The sequence below is a fragment of the Homo sapiens genome, chromosome 13, assembly GCF_000001405.40.
Source record: "Homo sapiens chromosome 13, GRCh38.p14 Primary Assembly".
Classification (NCBI taxonomy): Eukaryota; Metazoa; Chordata; class Mammalia; order Primates; family Hominidae; genus Homo; species Homo sapiens.
The window spans coordinates 37,673,443-37,699,768 of record NC_000013.11 but is presented as its reverse complement, the minus strand read 5'-3'; the positions used below and the strand labels follow the sequence as shown (position 1 = coordinate 37,699,768).

The following is a 26,326-nucleotide window of genomic DNA, read 5'->3' as shown; positions in this document are numbered from 1 at the left end:
GACATCAAATGTCATGCCCCTGTAATATGCATTTAGCTCTTCCTTGAATCCTGATCTGCAAATCTGAATTTAACATGTATATTTAAGAAAACACTTAGGTGATTTTATGACTGGGTACGAAATTTTTGAACTTGACACTTGTTGGGCAAGAGAGTCTGCAGAGAATAGAATCTGTAGTTTATCAATTAGTCTTCTTCATTATTCTCAAGCATTTTAGCCAATGTTTCTCAGATTTGATTAAATCTCTATTGATTTTTTGCCTTTTAACAAGGCTGAAAAACTTAATTGGGCAACTAGTTATCTTATTGGTATTCCCTTATGCTTCAGTTATTATTATCTTCTGAATGTAATTTCCTTGCATAAATCTTTTAATTATTATTATTATGCTGAAAGTGAACACATATTACATACTTGTGTATATATGTCTATAAGTGATTGTATATGTATATGCACATACGTGTATATACATATATCCTTGTGTGTGTAAACCTGTGTTTATATGCAATAATGGTGATACCTAATATTTATTGAACATATACTATGACCTAGGAACTCATACTTTTCACATATTAATTCATCTAATTTTTCAATAACCCTATGAGATAAGTATTTCTACTATCCCCATTTTACAAATTGGGAAAAAGACACAATAAGAATTTAATAATTTATTAATACTCACACAATCAGGAAGCAGCAGATCCAAGATTCAAATCCCAATGGGATTTCTCTAAGGCTTATGTGCTCTTAATCCCTACAATATCCAAATATATAATACAAAGTACGGTAAATTTGCCATATAACTTTGGAGTCATGATGAAGGCATATGGTGGTGCATAGGGTAAATATCTGTGAGAAACTAGGTATAGGTATTTTCTTCCTTTTTTATCCAGGATCTTTATCACCTACTCATGTTTCTCATGCCCACTGAATCCCAGTCTGTTTAACACTGGTTTAAGTCCCCTATTGGCATCGTGCTTAATGGTGAATTAGCCAGCTAGCATCCTTTGCCTGCGATTACACTGTGTTCGGCTTTTCCACTTGCACAAGAGTTCAGTGATTTGGTGGAGATTATTGTTGAGATTTTTGTGTTTATTCCCGTAATTAGATATTATACTAAAACTACACCATAGAATATCTGCTTGTGTGACTTCTATGCAATTCCTTTTAAAGGAATCTTTACTGAGCTAAATTTGCTTGTTGATAACCTTAATAAGAAGGTTGACTTTAAATGAGGAAAGCAAAAAATAGGAAAATAGAAAACATTAGAAAAACTAGAAGACTGTCCCACATTATTCAAAGGTATTTCTGTAAGGCAGTGGTTATTAAAAGTTAGTCCTCCCAGCACTTTGTGAGGCTGAGGCAGGCGGATCACGAGGTCAGGAGATCGAGACCATCCTGGCTCACACAGTGAAACCCTGACTCTACTAAAAATACAAAAAATTAGTTGGGTGTGGTGGCGGGCACCTGTAGTCCCAGCTACCTCGGGAGGCTGAGACAGGAGAATGGCAAGAACCCGGGAGGCAGAGCTTGCAATGAGCTGAGATTGCGCTGCTGCACTCCAGCCTGGGCAACAGAGTGAGATTCCCACTCAAAAAAAAAAAGGTTAGTCCTTGGAGTAACCTTGAGAACTGGGCAAAAATGCAGAGTTTAGGGCCTCACCTTGTACCTACTGAATCAGATACTGGGGTGGGGCTCATGTGTTTTAACAGCCTCCAGGTGATCCTGCTGCTTGCTCAATTTTGAGAACCACCACTGTATGGCTTGTCCCTATCACTCAAGAACTCATGCACGCTCACACACATACACATATACCCACACAGACATTCCCAGAGTTTCAAGGTCAGCTGTATATTTCTTACTTTATAGACATTGGAATATATATTTACACTGAATTAAAACTACTCTTTGTATATTTATCAGATACAATGGAGCTATAGGTAATTTCGTTAGACATCAAATCCTTTAAACCAGCGTTTATCAAGTTTTAACATTCATAGGAATCATGCTATGCAGATTTTTATTCAGCAGATTTGAAGTGGGGCCTGATATTCTCCATCTCTAACAGCCTTCCTGTTGATTTCAATGTTACTGGACTCAGCCCACAATTTGAGTTGCAACAATTTAGACTCAAGCATGTCCTCAACAAACATTTTCATACATATCCCAAAATATGGCCACAGTTTTCCTTTACATTTCATCTCTACTATAACTACAATTGGTTACAACCTTCTAGCACAAGAGATTTCTCATCTGAGCACACTTATCTCTATCCCTGTGTTTTTAACATGAAATTCTTTTAATCTAACATAAAACACATTCACTTACGAAGCTGTCACTGTCGAAATCTATCTGTTATTTCAGGCTTAACTAACAAATTCCACTTCCTTTCTTAAATTTTCAGTTTATTTCATGTCGGACATACTCTTATATACCCTATACCTCTTTTTAACAAGTTATCTAATGCTCTGTATGAAGTTATCCAGTTACATAATTAGTCCCAATGTATTTTGAGTTCCCAGAAGACAGATTTATGTGGTTCTTACAGATCATGGCACTCCCCTCACTTATCTAGCCACTGTCTGACTCACATATGATGCTGAATGCTATTGGCTTAATTAGTGTTTCACCTGCCCTGGAAAGGCAGGTGAAAATAATGTTTTGATTAATGAAGTAGGTGGGTCTGATTAATCATGTGATATGACTATGCTCAGAGGGGCCAGAAGAATTGTTTAATGAAGAGCACGACCAGAGGTATCACCAGGAAGCAGAGAGAGACAGAGACATTTAAAAGCCATTAGTGACCATGAGGGATGTAGGAGATGAAATAAAAGATTTAAAAAAAAAAAAAAAAAGATGTTTCAGCTATGGAAAAAGTTAATTCCCTGAAGTTCTTCTGCCTGTAAATAATCCTTAGACCCTGCTATCGACATTATAAAATGAGTTTTTGAAAAGTATTCTGGACAGAGGAAATAACTCCTCCCCCATACAGATTATTTTTGAATTGCTGAAGAATACACAGTAATACCCAGAGCATACTGGTATGTATATGAATTTGTGGTCCTTTTAGAGCAAAGGAATCAGATTGCCCTTATGTAAATCACTATGATACAGCCAATCCAAAGTTTCAACTCTCTTTATAATCACCCGGCAGTCAGCTGAGACTTCCTTGTGACTCTCTGACGCAGTCAAGATAGATAAAGTAGCCAGGACGGTTGTTCCTAGAATTTGGATTTTCTTCCTATAGAGAATGACTACAGTCTGAACTTTGGGTACAATTTTTCAAACTAGAAAAATAAGTTGAAAAACTGAAAAGATGAAGACAGTAAATCTGATTCAAAGTTATTTTTGATTTATTTGTTTTATATATTTTAAATTATTTTCTGCTTACTTTGTCCATGTACAATTAATGTTTTAGTTCACTTTTCTAGATAGTTGATATGGTTTGGCTGTGTCCCCACCCAAATCTCATCTTGAATTGTAGCTCCCATAATTCCCACATGTTGTGGGAGAGACCCGGTGGGAGATAATTGAATCATGGGGGCAGGTCTTTCCCATGCTGTTTTCATGATGGTGAATAAGTCTCATGAGATCTGATGGTTTTAAAAAGGGGAGTTTCCCTGCACAAGCGCTCTTCTTTTGTCTGCCATCATGTGAGATGTGCCTCTTACCTACCACCACAACTGTGAGACCTCCCCAGCCACATGGGACTGTGAGTCCATTAAACCTCTTCTGTAAAGTGCCCAGTTTCGGGTATGTCTTTATCAGCGGTATAAAAACTGACTAATACAATGTAGTGAAGTTTCTTGTTTATTTGGTTTTGTTTTGTTTTTATATACTTTCCAGATTTAGCCTCCTTTTTGTAATTCTTTTCTTTGTTGCCATTGTGGCTTGGAGTTTTCATGTTTCGAGTAGTTAATTTTAAATCATTGATACTGGATCTCTCTTATTCTATTTGTAAAAATGAGATTAGATTCAATAGTTTTCATAGTGTCTTCAATATTTGGAATCCCATGACTCAGTGATTCTATAAATAATAATGAGATCAGACTTTTCAAACTTTTTAAAGTTTATTGAAAGAGATGGGACATCTTTAAAATTGTTTTCACAGCGTCTTTTATAAGTGCACAGCACAAATGTGAATTTGAAAGTTTTAGTGTTTTAATATGAATTTTAATGGGATGGCAGGAGTTGTGCTAGAATTGGCCAACAACTCTAGAGAAAGAACGGCTGTAATGAATTGTGTCTAAAAACAAACCTCGCTTCTCCCAGTCCTGGAATGGTGCGGAAGATGGTAGTTCCTCCTATGACTCATGGTGCAGTAGAAAGATGGAGTAGGAGGGGGGCTGTAGGCTCCCAGCACACTGCAGGCAATGTGATGGTCCACCTGGAGAGGGCATTGCTGGAATGTACTGGTGGCCACTGTCAAAGAATCAGGTGGCCCCTCACTGAGGGTGTCCTTCAGAGGGAGTTGGAGTAAAGCTGAGCATTACTCCAAGTAATCTAAGTAAACAGTGAGGGAGGCAACAGAGAGAAAAAGACACAGGGAGAGGAAGGGAGTGAGGGTGGGAGGAAGGAAGGAAGGAAAGAAGGGAAGAAGGAAGAGAGGGAGGTAGTCAGGCAGGGAGGGAAAGAGAGGCAAGAGATAATTGAAGTGATTTAATCTATGTTACAAATTAAAGACTGAAAAATCCCATAATATAAAATTTTAATTATTTCAATCCTTAATTTGATAACTGATTTAACCACCGAACCCATTTTTGCATGGAAAATCTATTAATTACTGGGATACAATTTAGGGAATGCTGGTGTAGACAAGTAAAGAGCATGTTTGGTCGAAAGGAGACATGAAATTACCACGAGAATATGTGGATTTACAATGATTCTCAGAATACTTTTTGGGTTATTTCAATCCTATGATTGGATCAAATACATAGCCAAATAACATCCACATTTGGGGAACTTTGTGTATTACACACACTCACTCCTGCTCTTCTTAGTCCTCTCCATAATTTTTACTTCTGCAAAAACCTCCCTGTGTCTGTGTTTAACGTAAAATTACGTATACTGTTCATTTACTAAGCACAGGTATATACTTTCAATAACTAAAGAAAGAAAAAGTACTTTTAAGAAAAAAAATAAATAAAAAATCATGGCTAACCTAGCACTTTGCAATGGCAACTTTTCTATGAGGATTAAATTCCTTGCTTTTTTTTAGGTAATTTTACAGAGTATATATGTGTGTATCCAGCAACAAAAATATTAATTCAAACAAACCTTAAATTCTCCTAAGAAAGTTCTTTGATTGTCCTCAGGTGCCCCATGCTGTAGTGAGATTTGACCAGGAAGAACAGAGTTTGAATCCAAGACCTCACTTAGACTGTAGTGAACAAAGTACATAACTTTCTTTTACTCGTTCTGCATGCACGGAATGAGTTACTTAGTACTTAGTCCCTTACAGTGTTTTGTCAATGTGTGACTACTGATAAGATGATGGCAACTGCTTGTTATATCTTGCATTTCCCATAGGTTTTCTTAACTCTCTTTTATCAAGACTTTTCAGCTGTCCTAAAGTTTAATACTATTAAAAATATTTTATTCCATGGGGAATTAAAAAAAGGAAAATAGTAGACTATGATTTCTTTATCAAATTCTGATGGGAAGGATTATACGGGGAAAAAATAAAACTCTTAAAGAGAACAGTGCTTGTTAATGATCTAAACCACTGTTTATCAATACTCTACAGTTATATAAGCAAAAACTCTATTTTGACTTTCAAATACCTGGCTTTGTCTAGAATAAAATTTAGCTTGACTGTTCATGGAGCTTGAAATTTCCTTAAGTAAGTGCCGTACAAGATAATGAGGATAGTCCCCCCTACCCCAGCCTTAAAACCATACTATTTTATCTGGTTTTATCTGTATTTACTGAACCCATTATTATAAACTTAATTCAATTGTTTGCATATTTATTTGCCCACTATATATATTGATGAGTAGATATGCAAGACAAGATGAAGAGAAACAGTTGCATGAAAAACCATTGTTCATCTAATCCAAATGGTTGAACACCTCAACTATTGGATTACTCTTTGAATGTCACCTCATCTCTTTCTTCATCCCCAAACACAGCATCCTTTCTGCATATCCAGAGACTGCTTGCTTGCTTACCATCAGAAAAAAGAAAGGAAAAAGTCTTGCTTCAAGGACAGCCATATGGCTTAGAACTAAAGAAGAAAGATGGGAAATGTGGAGTTGGGTGGAGAGTCCTGTAAAAGGAACAAGCACTAAGTTTGCTTATAGAGTAAGCCTATTTTATGATGTCAACAGAACTTCTCCAAGTCTCTTACAAGGAACTTACACTTCTCCTTCAATCAGAACTGTCCATAGGGCATCGTTTAATCCCACTGTACACTTTCTCACCAGGTTATGCTCTTGTTCTCCCAAGGTATCTTGCCGTGGATTACCCTCATCTTCTTTTTCTACTTATACAAATATGTCCCGGTGGAAGCATTCTTGAACTGTTCCATCTGAAAGATACAATTTTCTCTTAATTCATATATTGCTTAACTGACAATCCCAATGAGAAAGGTTGAGAAAAAAAATCTGAGAAATACTGAGAAAAAAAGAGATATTGAGAAAAAAATCCTGGACCAGATATTCAAACATCTCATAATTTGATAGATATGTAACCTTAACATACAGTAAGTAGTGTCCATGCTACATCACAAAAATGTTGTCAGGATAGAATGATGCCATGTCTGTGAAATGTTTTGTATAAGGCAATTAGGTATACTTAGGTAAGGTGTTTGCATTGTTTATACCGAATTAAGCTATGATGATTAACATTCTGGTGAATACTACTTTCTTTCATCTGTTTTTCATATTGCCTCAACCCAATTAAAAGTATATTTAGCTTGTACCTCATAAAGAAAAGTTCATTTGCTTTTCCTGATGATGAAAGTAATAAATATCTATTATAGAAAATTGTTAAAAGTACACACAAATATAAAAATAAAAATTAAGTGTAATGTTGTAACCAAGAGATAACAACTATATCAAAAAAGAGCCACACTTATATATTCTTATATATGTGTATATAGGTGTGTATCTTTATAAACTGCTTTGTTCACTTATCAGCGTATCTTTTGCATATTCGTATTCCCCAGTTCTATTTTTGCTTCCTCAAGTGCAGCCACAGTATTTTGACTTCAGTTATGTCTCACTAAGCATGTCATACTGTGCCTTGGGTAGAATAAATATTCAATACATTGGCTTTATTCACAGAATGACTTAAAGCCTTTTGATTGTTTAAATGTAAAATTATGTGAAACAGAATTTCTGTCTTTAAAGATCACAATTGTGTTCTTATTGATGAATTGAGGCCACTCCATGTAACTGTGACTTATTTTTCCTTTTCCTTTCCCTTCTGTTTAGTTTGTTGCCCAGCCCAATTGTCAACAGCTGCTGGCATCTCGCTGGTACGATGAGTTTCCAGGCTGGAGGAGAAGACACTGGGCAGTGAAGATGGTGACATGTTTCATAATAGGACTTCTTTTTCCTGTCTTCTCTGTGTGCTACCTGATAGCTCCCAAAAGCCCACTTGGACTGTTCATCAGGAAGCCATTTATCAAGTTTATCTGCCACACAGCCTCCTATTTGACTTTTTTGTTCCTGCTGCTGCTTGCCTCTCAGCACATCGACAGGTCAGACTTGAACAGGCAAGGTCCACCACCAACCATCGTCGAGTGGATGATATTACCGTGGGTCCTGGGTAAATGTGTTACTATAGAAAATATAATAAAAACATGTTACTGCCACGGAATTTCGTTGCTCAGAAAATATTCATTAATGTTTGGGACCTAGGAATGTTTAGAATAGGTTCTGACTATTGTAGCTCCAAGAACCTCACCCCCAAAGCCAAACAACTATTTTACAAGCTGCGGTGGACCCGCTTACAAAATCAGCTTAAGAAACGTAACCTTAAATTTTAGAATTACAGATTTTAATGACTTCATATTCCACGACTGACCCTCTGAGTTTTTTGTTTATTAAAACTTTTCAACATATCTCATTGACTATATGTAAATAATCATTCTAATATTCCTAATAGATAAGTCTTCTAAAAGTACATGCAGATTACTCTGAAGAATTAGTGATTCTATACATAAAGTAACTGAAACCTTTTGAAAAAATCAATCCATTCAAATTTATCTTTGAAATCTATATTAATTTAAAATAACAGGAAATTAAACAACAGGATATCCGCCACTCTCTTTTTGTTCTTGTCATAGAAAGTTGTATTGGGTCTGAAGCAAATCACTGTGAAGTAGAAAACCTTAAAGTAGCTAGTGAAAATCTTGTTTTCCCGCCGGGTGCAGTGGCTCATGCCTGTAATCCCAGCACTTTGGGAGGCCGAGGCGGGCGGATCACGAGGTCAGGAGATCGTAGCCATCCTAGCTAACACGGTGAAACCCCGTCTCTACTAAAAATTCAAAAAGAAATTAGCCGGGCGTGGTGGCGGGCGCCTGTAGTCCCAGCTACTCGGGAGGCTGAGGCAGGAGAATGACGTGAACCCGGGAGGCGGAGCTTGCAGTGATCCCAGATCACGCCACTGTAGTCCAGCCTGGGCGACAGAGTGAGACTCTGTCTCAAAAAAAAAGAAAGGAAAAAAATGTAGCTAGTGAAAACCTTGTTTTCCTTTCTCCTTGTTATTATAGCCATGGTTAAAATTTGCATTTTAATTATCCTTTTCTCTATCATACTATGGTTTGCTGAGAAATCACATTTTCTCAATTTAGCTCATTATTTTAAACCTCTCTGCTATAATATCTATCTCATCATTTGGCTATTAGAAAATATGTGACAAATTTCATGATTCAAAATCTCAGAATATCAGTTTGGGTTAACTCTCAAAACTGCTGAAGAAACTAAAATGACATCAAGGCAGAAAAAAAAAAGACAGCCTATTTGAGATAAATATGTTTTTCAGTTTTAAAAATTATAAAAACCATACTTTAAGTATTGTCAATAAGAAAAGTTAATAGGGACAAGATTTGATGTTTTACTTATATAACTAAACAAAATCCTCAGGTGAACTTTAAAATAGAGTAGGTTCTCATTAATCTAAAGTGGGTAAAATGTGATCTTGTTTAAATTAGAAAAAAGGGTCAGGCCGGGCAGGACACAGTGACTCATGCCTGTAATCCCAGCACTTTGGGAAGCCAAAGCGGGCGGATCGCTTGAGATCAGGAGTTGGAGTATCACCCATCTCTACTAAAAATGTGAAAATTAGCTGGGCATGGTGGCCACAGCCTGTAATCCCAGCTACCTGGGATGCTGAGGCAGGAGAATAGTTTGAGCCTGGGAGGCAGAGGTTGCGGTGAACCAAGATTACACCACTGCACTCCAGCCTGGGTGACAAAGTGAGACTCTGCCTCAAAAAATGAAAGAAAAGAAGAAAAATTAAAAAGGCTCACATAATCTATAAGTGTCCGAAGTGTCCTTTGGAATAAAATAATTTTCACATTGCAGTTGGTATTAAAGGTAAAATAACCCCCCCTGTTTCATTTAAATTAAATATATCTCATTAAGAATGTTTTTAAAGGAATTTTCTTCTTAGAAAATGTCTTTGGAACAATTCTTACAGAAGAGTTTAGGATGTTACATTTTCCATAATGGCTAACTTATATTGAATGTCTAAAAATTCTAGTTTCCCAAACGCAGAACATTTCATTTTGAAAAATACTATAGATACAATAAAATGTAAGCAGATAGAGTAGTCCTAATCTTTCCTTGATACCATCAATGAAAATGTGTCAAATACTTTCCAGGCAGAATGCACAGTGAAGGATGATAGTGATACAAAAGTAAGGCAACAAAGAGCCCTTCTGCTAATGAAGCTTAAATTTTACTGGGATAAATGGGTAATAAACAAATAGATTTGTGATATAATGTCATAAAATGGTAAATAATATTTAAAAAATAGGAGGTCCAACCTTCTAATTACTTGTCCAGTGAAAACAGTCATTGGCTGCCTGCTACACACCAAGCTTCTAACAGAATATTTCATGGAAGTTGGCTGGAAGAAACTAGACCCAACCACAGCTAAATGATTACATGAGGTATAGATTTATTTGTGAGTATTATAATTCCAGCTTAGAAAAATATCTGCTATAGGCAACATTGTCTCAAGATTTCCTGACTGTAGGGAGTTAATTTTTCTGAGAATTTTAGGATGAAAAGAGATTTCCTAGAATTAAAAAATGCGTGCAAATGATCATCTTGCTGAAATAATGGGGCATGAGGAAAAATGTTTATATATCAAAGAGATCTGTCAAACCATTATATTGTTCACCAAGTCTGGTGAATTGTGAGTGCCTCATATCCGAGACTGAGTTCTCAGTGCCTTGCTAGATCCATGATTATAAGGGGTGTGTGCTATGTTGTTGGGCTGTTCTGCAAAAGGCACTGGACTTAAATCCATGCCCAGGTTCTACCACTAGGAGACTATTAAATTATGGGTGGTCACAAGCTCTCAGGATTTTCAGTGTCTTCATCTACAAAATGAAAGATTTAGAGTGAATGACATCTAAAGTCCCCCTGTATCCTATCATCCTGTCTGCTAAGCTACCATTATTAAGGCAGAGAAAACTGATCCTTTCGGGGGAGGTATAGTGTTGAAGGGGAGAGCCAGGCTAAAGACATCAGAGTAGGAATGCGTTAATCTTTAACCAGAAGCGTAATATATATAAAAATGCACAGTCTGATTTGATGACTATATTAATGAATCCTCTATTCTCTTGTCCTGTCCTGCTGTCTGATAAAGTAAGTGGCCATGAGTCCCTTAGCAGAACATTTCATAGTTCATTGTTTGCAAGGTTCTAGATTTATAACATCAAGACTGAATGACTTACGGAAATGATGTGGCTTATAAGTGTGTCCCCTCATCATGTTAATTGTCTCAGTGGTAGACTGGAACTCTGTTTATGGTTTTTTCTCAAGTCTTCTTGAACTGACTTAGATTTTCAAACCAGATCACCTCTGTGAGCTGCTTGTTGTATAAAGTAATACTTTTTTATTTGTACTAAATTCACTTTTCTTCCGTTTTCAAAAGATCTTCCTCGCATTCATAATTTCTTGATGTATGAGAAATGATCACTTTATACCTCTCATTTGTTTATCCTAGCAAAACACTTTTGACTTATTTGTTTTATATATTTATATCATAAATGTCCATGTTTATCTAGGTAGGAAAGTTCTCTAACTTTAAAGCCTAACCTTTCAAACCAATTTCTTTTTCTTCTTAAGAATTATGGTTTTGCTTGGGAATTTCCATTATTTTATATATCTTGCAGTGTTTCAGCAATAAGAACTGTATTCAGCCTCATAGAACCAGTTGTCTTGTGTTTCAGTACAATGGCAGAATAAGGTTTCTGTTATTTCAGTATCTTTCTTGTTGAAGTTCAACATTGTTGACTATTTAAATCTATTGTGTTTTACATCTTTAGAAAGCAGTTCATAATCGCTCTTCTATCCCTCTGCCACGGTGTCAGCAATAAGTTGGAACTCACCGCCCAACAAAGCTTTCAGAATTATTTTTACTTCAGACTTGCTTGTATTTGAAGGTTATCGACTTTTCCTTTCTGCCATCAAACAGCCTCAAGAGATCTTCTTGCACATATTTGCTGTCAGGATGAACTTTATTATATAAGAAAGAAAGCCAAAAAGCTTTACAGGGACCAAACTTATGATGCTTGTCATTGTGATACAGTTCTAACTAATGCAGAAAACTAATCATGGATAATTCTGTTAGAACTCTCAATAGATGAGTAAATTCCAGACAGATGGACACCAATATCCTTCTCAGGCTGTCAAATTACCCACTTAAACTAGAGTAAAAAGTAAAACAGTTGTTTGATCAAGCATTCCTATGGGCCTGATAACAGAGCTATACTTTTCGGGTGTCTGGAGAAAAAGTTTCATTGGAAAGACTGAATGATGGATTAGAAAGAGCTCGAGGCTAGAAGATCAGAGACTTGGGTACTTTTACGTTCTCCATGACTCTGAGGCTCTTAACTTATTTAGGGTTTGATTTTTAATATACTGGGAATATGCAATGAATAGAATATGATAAATTTATTTTTATTAAAAAATTACATGAAAACTAGAGCATGTTATATGTGTAATGTGCATTATGAGAATTCATCAAAATTATGGCAAGAGTTTTATCTCAAAGAGAGGCATTTGTTTCTGAAGATAATACGTAGTAAGATATGGGAAAAACAAACTTTTGAATGCTGGTTGTCAGGCCTTCCTGAAACCCAGTTTGAATTTTCCCTCAGAATTCATTCTAACTCCGATTGTAACAAACAAATTTTGCTATAAATTATCCCTTTGCACAAAAAAGTATGGACATCTGTAAAATTTCCAGATGTAGACTTATGTAATTAGCTTAGTAAAATAAATTATAAAATGGATAACACTTTTCATGAAAGAAGTAGAACTTTGGGCTGGGTGTGGTGGCTCACACCTATAATCCCAGCACTTTGGGAGGCTGAGGTGGGTGGATCACGAGGTCAGGGGTTCGAGACCATACTGGCCAACATAGTGAAACCCTGTCTCTACTAAAAATACAAAAATCAGCCAGGCATGGTGGCAGGCACATGTAGTCCCAGCTACTCGGGAGGCTGAGACAGGAGAATCGCTTGAACCTGGGAGGCAGAGGTTGCAGTGAGCCGAGATTGTGCCACTGCACTCCAGTGTAGGTGACAGAGCAAGACTCCATCTCAAAAAAAAAAGAAAAGAAAAGAAAGAAAGAACTTTAATGAAGGCTATCATATGAATACAGCAGGAAATACTTTGCTCCTATGAGAAAACAAAATGGCTGCTGAAGCGACGTGACATTGTGAGCATGCCCCAGATTATGCCACAATTAAACAGTATGCAAATCTATGCACACTGAGCATGAGGAGAAAGGTGAACTGAGGAAAAGATGTAACATAGGAGGAGGTCTAAGCTCTGTTAAAAATAGCTTCTATTGAATTCCTAGGCATAAAGTAAGAATTGCTCATAATAGCCAGATTATGCAACTTGCCTATAACACTTTATTTAGCAAATTTTTAAACAAGATTGGTTTCTCATTTCCATAATTTATTTTACATTTTTATGTTTTAAAAGGTGGATATTAACAAATCTGAACATTTCAACAAGGCCTACCAAATTGAAGATGTAGAATGAAAAGTTGGTGATAACATTTTCATCTAGATAAATATTCATAGAGTCAAATAATACTATATGGATGTATATATATGTATATATATGTGTGTGTATACACACACACACACACACGTATACGTATAACCAGTTATGGTTTTTACACATATATGTATAATCAGTTATGTGTATATAGGTACATACAGACACATATATACACATACATATATATGTATGTATACATATAGACACATATACACACGTGTGTATATATACGTGTGTGTGCGTATATATATAATTCTTCCTGTCTTGTGACCATTTTTTCATCTTTTGTCTAAAGTCATTAAGATCAAATGGCTTCATATTTTCAGCCTCACCGCTGAATTTCCCATCCCCTCAAGCAGCTCCAAACAATATTCTCACAATTATAAGAAATATTCGTATTACTTTCCCCAGCTCCTCCCTTGTCGTGGTGCTCAAATAATCTTAGCAAACTAGCTTCAGACACACACAGACCCTCAAACACAAGCTGCAGACTACCCATTTATTAATTTAAAATGGATATTTTAATTTTTGAGGAAATCAGATAGTACAGTGCGACATATGACCCTCATTTTACTATTTATCAGTGGGAAAAAATATTTTAACATCATCTTCATGGAATTATAAAGACTAATGCAGTAATATCTCAAACAATGAGATATTAATGAAGATTTCAGTTATTGTGTGTGCCCCTATTAATGCTGAACACATGATTTCTTTATTGGAGGGAAATGAACTCTTTTTAGGCCATGACAGTGCAATATAAATTTGATACACAAAAATTGAAATTTACAGGCCTTCAGAGAATGTTTGAAAACATGGTTTAGATGGTTCAAGGGAAGAGGGGAAAAGACAGGAAAAGAGGAGTAGATACCAAGAAAGAAAGAGTCAAAGTTAAAAAAAAAAATGAGATTCTTGAATTAGTCTTCATTAGCACAGAGTAACAATAGTAGTAGTAGTAATCGTAGTAATAATAGTAGAAACTGAAAAAATTAGGCACTGTGCTGAGTAATTTAAATGCATTCTTTTGTTCGAACTTCACAGTAACTCTGTTCCACTTAATCATAATAAATGATGTTAATGTCTCATTTCACAGAGAGGAAACAGGCTTAGAGAATTTACATTCCTTGCAGGGATCAAGGGATCAAGGAGCTAACAAGTGATACTAGATTCAAATTCCAGTCAATGTAAGTCTAGATCTAGATTCTTTATCCTTTCTGAGACACTCACCCAAAAGTGTGAGAGGTAGAATTTGAAAAGGCAAAAACAGCTCAGAACGTGTGTCCGTACTTAAGACTTCTTCGCTTCTATTTGCCGGCTTAGATTTTTACACAGGTGAAATTTGAATGGACCATGTTTCTGCTTCATTAAAGGTGTAATGCTCTTTAAGATGCACATTTGATATGATTTACTATTGAATATTATGTTTACCAACATACCAAACTCACCACTACCACCACCCTCACATCACCACCAGTATCATCACTGCCTTTTTTCTAATCTAAAACATATTATGTGTGACTTTCTAGCACTAAAAGAAGCAATCCATTCCAAGAAAGAAAGAATAAGTCCTTTGATATGACCTAGAGATGTTTCCTTTTTTGCTTTCCATGTATTAGTTGCTATGTTCTAAAGTTAAATTTATTTTCTTCAAGGACATTATTATTTTTTAAATTTCTGTGTGTGTGTGTGTGTGTGTGTGTGTGTGTGTGTGTGTGTGTAAGGGGTACTCAGGAAAATCGAAAGAAATAAATATATTTCTTTGTGCATATTTATTTTTAAAATGTTCAGAAGTTTGTATTAAGTGGAAGGTGGTAATTTTCATAGTGAAAATATTAATATTCACTTATTCGAAACTATATATTAGGCAACTTCTGCTGCTTATTGAAAAGGTAATGAACAAGGAATTGGAGAAATATTTATTCCTTGTCTTCCTATCTACATAAGCATTCTACTTCTTAGTTTTCATGGAAAATTTTAAATTAAATTAGAATCCTATAAAAAGAATGCTCCTACACTGATAAAATGTCTCACTTGATTTTTAAGTAACTATTTTTAGGTGATAAGCTATCAGATGATCTGGAATTCTAAAGTTCTACACTTCACTCTTACTCTGAAACTAACATGGCATCCTTTCTTGGTAAACTTAAAAATGTGTACTTCCTTAATTATATATTCCTAGTTTTTTTTCTCAAAATGTTAAAATAATGGTGTCAAAACCCATAGTGGTTTAAGCATTTTTAGATGCCTTCCAACTAAGAATATTTAACATTCACTGTCTCTTTATGTCAGTGTTTTTTGAAGTATGGTCTGCTGACTAAAATTATGGTTACTGTAGATTCTTATGACAAATTCAGATTATGGTTGGCTGATTTAGAAATTCCAAAAGTATTTTAAACATTAAAGACTGAGAAACAATTCTGGAAGTCAAATTTCATAATCATATAATGGTTTTATTAAGGATCTTCAACATATTTGAATCTAGACATGAAATGGTTTTACTTCTTTCTATCACTCTCCTTGGCCACCTTATATCAAATATCCTTTCCTTGTTCCCGAATGATATCACTATCGGTTATCATAAATTTTCTGAAATTTCAAGTTATTTAAAAGTAGGCTATGTTCAGTTTAAAACTCAAATTTTATAAGCTTAAAGATCTTCTCTTCCCAATAAAGGCCTGACCCATGGCTTGAAGGATCTGGAATTGTCCATCTCTTACACATCCTTTAACTCCAACACTGGAATTCAAGGTGGGATATAGGCTCTTCATGCTTCCTCACTCCTGTTGCTTTAGGGACGATGGGGAATGGGAGAAGCTAAATGTCCTGACTTACCTGGCACCCTGGTCAGAGCTCTTTCTTGGTTGGTTGTCCTGCCTCTCTGGCTATTACTGAGCCACCTGTGTGATGCTGACCCTCCTGAGGGGTGCACGGCTGTTCTTTGAGAGCCCTGTTGTGCCTCCACACTGCATAGTTCTCTGAGTCAGAGATTCAACTCTTCCAGGAGTCTTCCAGTCCCTCCACTCCTGTAACCAGCAGTCAATCCCTAACGAGGTCCTGGAACCCTAACAAATCCCTCTTGAGTCCTGGCAAGAAGGCTCAAACCCAGCCTTTTCTTCTAATATGCACTTACCTCACAACAGCATCACAGAACCTTACCACATTAAAAGACAGAAGGCCAGACTGCCATGGGCTACCCTATGGCCAAACCTCACTGTTTTCCATTTTCTGTGATGAGCTGAACCCAGGGGGAGATGAGCAAGCCACCTGCCCAAACAGATGCCCCAGCAGGGGTGAGGTAGTAGTTCCTCCTTGTAGAAACTCCCAGACTTTATGAGGGATTTTCTTGGAGTCTCCCTTAGACTTGACTTAGGGAGGCAGTAGTATTGGTGAGGAAACACCCTTACCTGTCCTTCTGGTATTCCCTTTTAGCACAAAAACTGCACTGTCCTGGCTGGGCTGCCGACGCCTGTAATCCAAGCTCCCTCCTTGGAAGGCCAAGGTGGGGAGATTGCTTGATGCCAGGAGTTCAAGACCAGCCTGGCCAACATAGAGAGATTTCTTTTCTACCAAAAAAAAAAAAAAAAAAAAAAGATAGCTGGGCATGGTAACATGTGCCTCTAGTCCTTGCTCCTCTACCCAGGAGGCTGAGGTGGGAGCATTGCATGAGCTCAGGAGTTTGAGGATGCAGTGAGATATAATGCACCACTACACTGCAGCCTGGGAAACAGGGTGAGACTCTGTCTCTAAAAAATAACAACAACGACAAAAACAAAACAGAAACCTTGCACTCCCTGACCTCATGGCTCTCTCGCTATCTGTCTCCCCAGGTCTACCTCTGTTACAGATTACGGAAGGAGAGGGCTAGGTGGTTGGGAACAGATAGGGTCCTGATGCCTCCTAGTAGGCCCTGGAAGGAAAAGTTTGGCTACAATTTTCTGTAAACTCTTTTCAGAACATGGATGCTTGGGGTCCTTGTCCTCATCTTTGTTTGAGTTTTAAGTATACTGCTGAGAACAGGAGCTGCCCCTTAACTGAGTGCCTCTTAGAGGTCCAGAACAAGTGGGTTTCTACTGAATAAAAGACTTCCTTTAAATTTATCTTTGAACAGAAGCAGATTTTTGATGAGAGACTACTTTTATATTCCCTGATTTGAAAATCAAAAAACAAAACAATACAAAACTCCAGCAGGGAGGAAATTTTTGTGTTCTTTTATCTTCATTGATTTGATACCACAACATAAAGCTCAGTGTTCTGTGAAGAGACTTCCAAGGTCAGGCCCCCGACAGCTTTGCGGCTTAAATAAGAGACCCCTGGAGGTTGCCATAGGTGAAAAGGTGACTTGCTTTTTGTTTGGGGTTGTTTACTATTGGTGTAAGTACGGACAGTAAGAAAGGGAATGACAGGAGATCTATTTGCAGAGTTACACATTTGTCACATGTAATTGGTGCTGTTAAATGTGGCATCTGAGCATTGCCTACCCCATCACATCCTCACAGCCAGCTTCGCAGGACATAATAGAACATTCAAATAGCCCTGAGTGAAAACTGTTATGGGAAAGGTAGAAAAAAATAGTAAAAACTTCCAGACATCTACAAATATTTTTAAAAGGAAGTTCTCTGACTCATTTGCACTGTGATCTTTCCTTTGTTGGTCCCCACAGTCTTGACATCAATGCTTGTAATTAGGCCTCCATCACGACTCTGAGAAATCATGTCTTCTGTTTATAAACAGCAAAGAGCAATTTCGAAATGTTCCCATTGCGGGAACAGGATAAACATTTTGTGACAGAAGCTGTCTTAATCTTTGTTCTCTTCAGGCTTTTTAGTTACCATGGATAATTTACTAGCTGAATTCGTTTTTTATTTAGTTAATAGCACCCTCTGGTTTTTCTAAAGGCTTGTTTCTTCAAAAATTCAGTAAATGTTGCCAGAATAAATGAAACTGGCCATTTCGCTACCATGCTTATAACAAACATAAATCCACAGTCATCTGACAGGTATGTGGTGACTAGAACTATAAAAAGTGATATTCAATCTGGAACAATAACAAAAAAAAAAGATACCAACACATTACCACATTAGCCAACAGACATTGATTGGCAATCTTATCTATAGCTCAAGTTTAAACAAAATGATGACATGAGTTTCCAGTTTTATCAGGATCTCTGTTTTTCCCACACATTTGTGCCTTTCAAAGGTCAGAAGTGAAGTAAGATTTTGGGTGGTCAAGAAAATCAGATTTAATGTCTCCTCCTTGATCTCCAGAGGAATTGTAATATATCAGCATTGTGAGTTTTGCTTAGAGGTCATCTAGTCTAAACTTACAGTTGAAGTTTCATCTCCTTTAACCCATCGGACGAGAACAGAGTCTGCTCAGCTATGAAGGAAGTCGAAATAAAATGTTGACTTGTACTGAGCTCATAACTTCTTCTTTATACCTCCTTCCCAAAGCCTTTCTTCCTTTATGTAAATCCTCACAAAATATTTGAATTTCGCTATTTCGATGACTGTTAATAATCACATTTGACTTTCCAGTTTAGTAGCAGCAGGTATAAAGATAATAAAGTTTATCTGTCAGACATAATGAAATATAAATGCTCTGGTTAGCAAGTACTTTAAAATATATTTTATTTCATGATACATACAAATCTGAAAGCAACCGAATTATAAATTCATTAAGTTGGAATGAACTTTAAAGATTACGTAGATCAGTCTCCACTCGCTGCTAGAATTTCTCTGGCTTAAAGACAGCCTCTGGATTGGAATCTCTATGTCACAGGGTAATCCATTCCAGTTTTAGAGCAACTCTAATTGCCAGAATATTCTTCCTTACATTTGGCAAGAAGCTGCCTTTCTATGCTTTTCTTATCAAAGATCCAATTTCTGCTTTGTGGGGCAGACCAGAGCAAGTCTGTGCCCTCTTGTACAGGGCAGTTTTTCATCTCTCATGGCAGCGATTGTGATGACTGCTTTTGGTAAAATTGTCACAATCCTAATAGGAAGAAGCAATCGTTGGCAATTTATGCAGTTAGGATAAAATCATACTTTGTAAAAGCCATGTAATCCAAACCTCTGTTTTTTGAAGTGAACGGAAACCTAGAGAGGCTAAGCTAAGATTCTAAAGCTGATTGCTCGTTGAGTTGAGCCTGGCCGCTTGATCACCTAACGTAGACTAGCTCTTATCACTATGCCTTCTGGTGAAAAATTAACTTGAAATGCATTTGCTAAATCAATGATTGCATGCACATATCTAATATCTGGGAATTGGCAGTGTCAAGCAAGACAAAACAAATAAGCAACATTGTACCAAGCTCATAACTTCTTCTTTATACCTCCTTCCCAAAGTCCTCATTCTGTCTTCTGAAGCACATAACTCTGTGCCTTGTAAACTCTCAGGAATAAGAAAATGTTGTCCAAGTGCACTGCATTTAGGAGATTCTGATCCAGTCGTGCTTTCTTCATTAACTGGTGGCATCACATTCTTGTTTACGCTGCCTCTTTGGGCCTTAGTTTTCTCATGCAGGCTGTGGTTGTCTATTGAATTCTGCGTCTGTAGCCAGGTTAGTAGGAGAAAGCACCATAGGTATGGAAAAAAATGTGTGCCAAGCATTTTTTCGCACTGGATATTTTAAATTCTAAGTTTCCCACCAGCTCTAAAATGCAGTGCAGGCATCATATCTTACTTAGTTCTGATATACTCCTTTCTCCAATATGGAGGTAGTAAATATTATTATCATTTTCCCAATTATGTCCCAATTCTATCTGACCTCTCATGAGAGATTTATTTATGAAAGATGACTAAAACGGGAAACTAGGATGTAAATGCCGAATTTAGAATAAAGCAGTTGTCTACAGCCAACTTTAAAAATACACTATAATTAATTTATCTGAAATCAGCTCTCATGTGAGTTATAAATTTGAATATAACAAAATATAAAAACAAAACTTTATCAATAATTTTAAATAGTCATTGTTTATTTTCACTAATTAATGATAGACCATCATGTCTACTATGCTTTTATTTCATTCAACATTTTATTATGAAAAATTTCAAACATACAGAAAATGTAAAAAATTTATAGTTACTCATATATTACCTGTAATCAATGTATTACCATAATATTTTTAATTATTTTTTCTATCACTGTATTCATTCCTCAATATCAATTTTGTAATTTTGGCTACATTCAAATTAAGTTATAACACTAACTTTTTGGAGTTGAATGCAGAGATATAAAATGTTAAAACGCATACAGTCATGTAATAACCACCACAGGAGGCAGCAAACTACGGCCCTGATATCAGATTGTTTGCCAGTTTTTTTAATAGTTTCATTGGAACACATTCATGCCCATTTATTGCAAAGCCTAAATTATTTGTTCTCTGGCCCTTTACAGAAAAGTAGTTATAAATTTTTATAAATGCCCTTGATCAAATTAATAAATTTCCCTTTTATTCACACTTTACTGAAAGTTTTTATCATGAATGCATGTTAAATTTTGTCAAATGTTTATACTGCATCTATTGAAATGATCACATTTTTTCAAAAAGCTGTTGATGGGATAAATTATGCTGATTGATTTTTAAATATTGAAACAACCTTTCATTACCTGGAAAAACATTACTTGGCCATGATTTATTATTATTTTTATATATTGCTAACTTTTATTCACTACTATTTATTGAGGATTTTTGTGCATATTTATAAGGGCTATTGGTGTGTAGTTTTAAAGAGTTTTGTCTGATTGTTTATCAGTGTAATACTTGCCTCTTAAATGTTTCTTACTGTTGTTATCTTTGCAAGAGTGTGATTAGCACTAGTATTATTTTTTCTTGAAATGTTTGGGTGAATGCACCATGAAATCAACTGGACCTGAATTTTTTTGTTGTTGGAAGGATATTAACTACCAGTTCATTTCCTTTAATAACTATAGGACTATTCAGGTTGCTTTATGTCCTCTTGAGTGAGTTTTAAAGTTTATGTCTCAGGGAAAAAAGCTCATTTAAGTTGTGAAATGTATGAGCATCCAGGTATTCATTCTAGTTGCTTATTATTCTTATAATATCTATAAGATCTATATTGATGTTCCTTCTTTAATTTCTGATATTGATTATTTATATCATCTTTTTTTGTTAATCATTCTGGCTAGCGTTTTATCAATTTTATTGACCACTTAAGAAAACTAGATTTTGTTTTCATTGATTTATCTTTCATTTTATGTTTCAGATTTTATTGATTTTTGTTACCTTTGTTATTTTCTTCTTTCTGCTTGTTTTGGTTTAAACTTGCTCTTCTTTTTATACTGTCTTAATTGAAGGTGAAATCACTGAGATGAACCCCTCATTCTTTTTTGATAAAGCATTCAGAGCTGTATATTTCCTCTAAGCACTACTCTAGATGCCTCACAAAGAGTTTTTGGTTGTATCTTCATTTTCAATCATTTCAAAATATTTTTAACTCTTCTCATGTATTCCTATTTGAGCCGAAAGATAATAGAACTGTATTGTTTAGTTGAAAAATATTTGGGGATTTTCTAGGTACATTTAATTATTGATTGGTTGTTTATTTGTGTTGTAGTCATAGAACTTACTTAGTATGATTTCAACCTAAATAAATGTGCTGAGGTTTGTTTCATGGTCCACACTATGGCCTATCTTGGTGAATGTTCCATGTGCACGAGCAAGAAATGTGTATTCTGCTGTTCTCATGTTGTTGGTAGTGTTGTTCAGGTCTTCTATATCATTACTAAATTTCTGTCTACTGGTTCTGTTGGTTACAGAGAGAGGAATGCTGAAACCTCCACTTATAATTCTACTTTTCTTTGTTTCTTGTTTCAGTTTTAATAGTTATGACATCTTGTATTATAGGGTTCTTTTGTTAACTGCAAGCACACATAGAATTTTTATATCTTCTCAGCAAATTCGCCTTTTTATCTTTATGTTATATCCCTCTATATACCTAGTAACATTGCTTCTTCTGAAATACATCTACTTTTATATTAATGTAGCCACGGGAGCTTTCTTTTCATTATTGTTTTATGTTATATTTTTATTTTTCCTTTACTTCTATGGATGAATTGTGATAGAGTTATGCCTGTACTTTTTTCATATATGATCATCTCTTTATTTTCATTAGTGTGTTTAGATCATACATTTCATTGAGTATAATTATGATATGGGTAAACTGGAAACCTACCCCCATTGCTATCTGTTCTTCGTTGCGTTTTTCCTTTTATGCCTGTTATTGGATTAAATATTTGTATAACCCTAATTATTTACATGTATAGCTCTCTACTCATATATTTTAAAATATTTAAAAGGATGCCATAGTATTTACAATATAAAATATTAATTTATTACATTCTAACTTCAAAAATATTATTCTGCTTTATGTGTAGTATAAGAACCTTATGACGGGAGGCTTGTAATTCTCATCTTCTGTGCTAATGTCATTATACCTTTTACTTTTACCTATGTTGACAATTACAATATATTGCTACAGTTTTTACTTAGGCAGTCAATTATATGTTAGAAAACTTTTAAATAAAAATAAATATATGTATTTTATATGTATAACATATATATATATACACACACATTTCTGGACATAAATCTTCATTTTTAAAAATAAATCTAACTTTCTGTCCAATATTATACACCTTCTGCCTTAAAAATATCCTTTTAGTATGTCTTTTAGTGTAGATCTGACAGGAATAAATCGTCTCAGATTTTGATTGAAGAAAAAGTCTTTAGTAAGTATTTCTTAGAGCTATTTGTGTTGTATATAGAATCCTGGGTTAACTCTTATTCTTTTTCTTTCAGCACTTTAAAGATGTTACTCCAGGCCGGGCGCGGTGGCTCCTGCCTGTAATCCCAGCACTTTGGGAGGCCGAGGCGGGCGGATCACGAGGTTAGGAGATCGAGACCATCCTGGCCAACATGATGACACCCCGTCTCTACTAAAATACAAAAAATTAGCCGGATGGGGTAGTGCGTGCCTGTAGTCCCAGCTACTAGGGAGGCTGAGGCAGGGAAATCGCTTTAACCCAGGAGGCGGAGATTGTAGTGGGCGGAGATTGCGCTACTGCACTCCAGCCTGGCAACAAAGTGAGACTCCAACTAAAAAAAAAAAAAAGATGTTACTCCATTGCCTTGTATATATTTTTTACACCCAGAAGTTTGCTGTCAGTCTTACTTTTCTTCCTTTGTATGCAAAATGTCTCTCTTTTTTCCTTTTTTTTTTTTTCTTGGCTGCTTTCGGTATTTTTTCTTTATCTTTTGTTTTTGACGGTTTGAATATGATGCATCACGGTTTGGTGTGTGTGGGTACGTATGTGTACGTGTGTTTTGGAAAGTTATTCATTCCACCTATGCAGAAGACTAGCCACAGACGTACACAGCCTTTATGCCTGAAAGTGTACATGCCTCTTCTCTTCTAAGTTAGTGTAGAGGTTTGAGGCAATAAGTCAGGAGCTGAGTTGGGTTTGGGTTTTGTTGTTGCCACCGTCAGTTTCAGTGCATCATATGCCACAGCTTAGGGTGGAAAAGAAGATTATTCTCAGTGTTCCTTCTCCACCTACAGCTTTTGATCTTCCCTGTACATCTATGCCTCAGAGGCCCTTCCTCCAGTGGTTGTCAATTGCTGATTGTTCCCTGGTGTTTGTTGGCCTCGTGATGGAGGGCAGGAAAACTCTCTGATGTCCTCATCCAGGGTCAGACTTAGGCAGGCCTATATCTGACTGCTAGGGATGGAACTTTCTCCATGATCGATGCCCTCCTTTTCATGGCAAACATGGCAGCTTATGTACAGGAAAGTTTTTCCTGTCCCTGCTCTAATGGTATTGCTGTAAACCTGAGGCTCAGGAGTGCTTTCTGTCTCTTCCACAAGGCTAAAGTGTTTTGCTCCTTAGGTGAGAGGAGCCTGGAGAGGACACTGTGCCTCTCCCACAGAAGCAGCCTCTTTTCTCCCCAGGCTTGAACTATAATATTTCTCTTGAGCTGTGGATAGGGTCCATGAAGAAGAGCATGCAAGAGGGTAGAAATTTTCCTTGTAACTGTGGCTCCCAGGGATTCTAGTCTCTCCTGCTACCTCACAGTCAGCCGAGTCTCTTGGATGGTGCCAGTGTCTCTTCCTTGCATACTCTGCCGCAGGTGAGCTAAGTCTCACAACATGGTTGCTTTAGAGGAACGTGCATATATTTTAAAGTTTAGATTCCTTGATTTCTCGTCTCTCTGATGCATGCTTGGAAAATTATGATTTTTATAGTTAATTTCACTTTTTCTTGAGTCAGTGTAGGGATAATACTTTTCCAACTTTCTACATCCTAGGAAGATCTTCAACTCTAAATTTCATGTTTCAGAGTATTATCCTAAAAAATTCTCACTGTTTGCTTGTGTTAATGTAGTTATGACATCATATTTACCCTTTTAATATTTACTGAATCTAGATATTTTGACATCTCTCTCATCATTAGGCTCTAAATACGAAATTATAAAATTTTAATAAGATAATGGAAATAAAATAATAACCTACACTAATATTTTGTAAGTACTTCATAGAATTTGAAAATAAAGCATTTCCTATTAAAAATTAAAAATACATTTTTTCTGGATATAAAGTATTTTAATGAATTATCATGAATGCTATAACCATCATTTCTCAAGATTGAAGTCCGGTCTCTGAAGGCACTAACTGCTTAAAGAAACACAACAAGATACTCCACTAATTGTCTGAAACCAGTTATGATTGCTAGATACACTGATTTTCATGATCTTTGAGTAATTTTGACTTGGGAGAAAAATATATGTCAAGACATTTGCTTTTAAGAAAATGTTATTTTCCAAGGGAAATATATAGTTATAAAGGAGCTACAGTATAATTTAAAAACTACTTATCCTTATGAATTTATCGAATGGATAAAAGAAAGTGAGGCTGTCCTAACAACATCTTCCAGAATTAGCTTAGTATCTGAAAGTCTTAAAGTATGGCTGGGACTCAGTGTTATTACCTGTAAAAAATAGATGTTGCATTTAGTGTAACAATGTGGTCTCTTGTAGCTTCGAGATCTATAATTGTTAAATTGTATATTGCTTTTTTAGTGATTCTATTGAAATCATACTTACAATGAATCTTTCTATAATTGCAGGCTTCATATGGGGAGAAATTAAACAGATGTGGGATGGCGGACTTCAGGACTACATCCATGATTGGTGGAATCTAATGGACTTTGTAATGAACTCCTTATATTTAGCAACAATCTCCTTGAAAATTGTTGCATTTGTAAAGGTAACTATTATTTATGTTGTTGGTAAAGCATATGTTCTGATTATTAATGATATACTTTCAACTGATATTAATTTTATTAATAAAGTTACCTAGAGCTTTTTCCGGATGTCGTATTCATCAGCTCATGGTTTTATTGATAGATATATAGGGATAAAAATACATAAATAAATGCATAGCCTTTAATCACAAAACAAGTTTTTATAAGTAGAAGTTATCACCCAATTCCCTTGCATCTACTAAGTAGAATGATGTCTCAAAACTATTCACAGTAACTGCTCTAGTTTCTAATCCTTTCTATTTCTAATGAAATTGTGCTTCAAACACTGTTTAAATTTTGGCAACCCAAATCTATTTTCTTCAGTTATAACTAATAGATAAAATTTCATAGACAGATCAAAATATTACTCTTTCAAAGCATTGAAATTATTATTTCAGTATAAACTAATACAATTTGATATAATTAGAGCAGAATATAATTTCTTTCTCCTCATCCCATTCAACATGACAGTGCCTGAAATCTCACACACTCATTACTCCCCCAGATTTTGTACACCATCAATCTTATCCCAACCTCATAATTTGCATAAAACATTTTTGTTCTGTCATGACAATTGGGATTATTTTGTACTTTGTTGGGTTTCTTTCAACCCAGAGGATTATCTTCTCTCCTTCACTGATTTTCCTTTTCCCCCTTTCCTTTTCTCTTTAAAAAAATAAAAGTTTCAAAATAACTAGTTAATTGGTAAAAAAAAAAAAATAAAGAATATCTAATTGGGTGTGACATA

General features: G+C 35.8%; 1 protein-coding gene across 11 annotated transcripts in view; it reads left to right on the top strand.

Annotated features, from left to right (window-relative positions):
• TRPC4 (transient receptor potential cation channel subfamily C member 4) overlaps positions 1-26,326 on the top strand; it is a 237,710-nt gene that overhangs the window by 170,004 nt on the left and 41,380 nt on the right. For 6 of the 11 annotated variants that reach the window (NM_001135958.3, NM_001135956.3, NM_001135957.3 and 3 more), the window contains 2 exons: positions 7,434-7,770; positions 25,402-25,541. In NM_001135958.3, coding sequence (NP_001129430.1) covers positions 7,434-7,770; positions 25,402-25,541 — 477 coding nt within the window. Of the gene's footprint in view, positions 1-7,433; positions 7,771-25,401; positions 25,542-26,326 lie in introns of those variants that run through there. The other 5 variants (NM_001372055.1, NM_001354799.2, XM_011535206.2 and 2 more) reach the window with 5 other exon arrangements.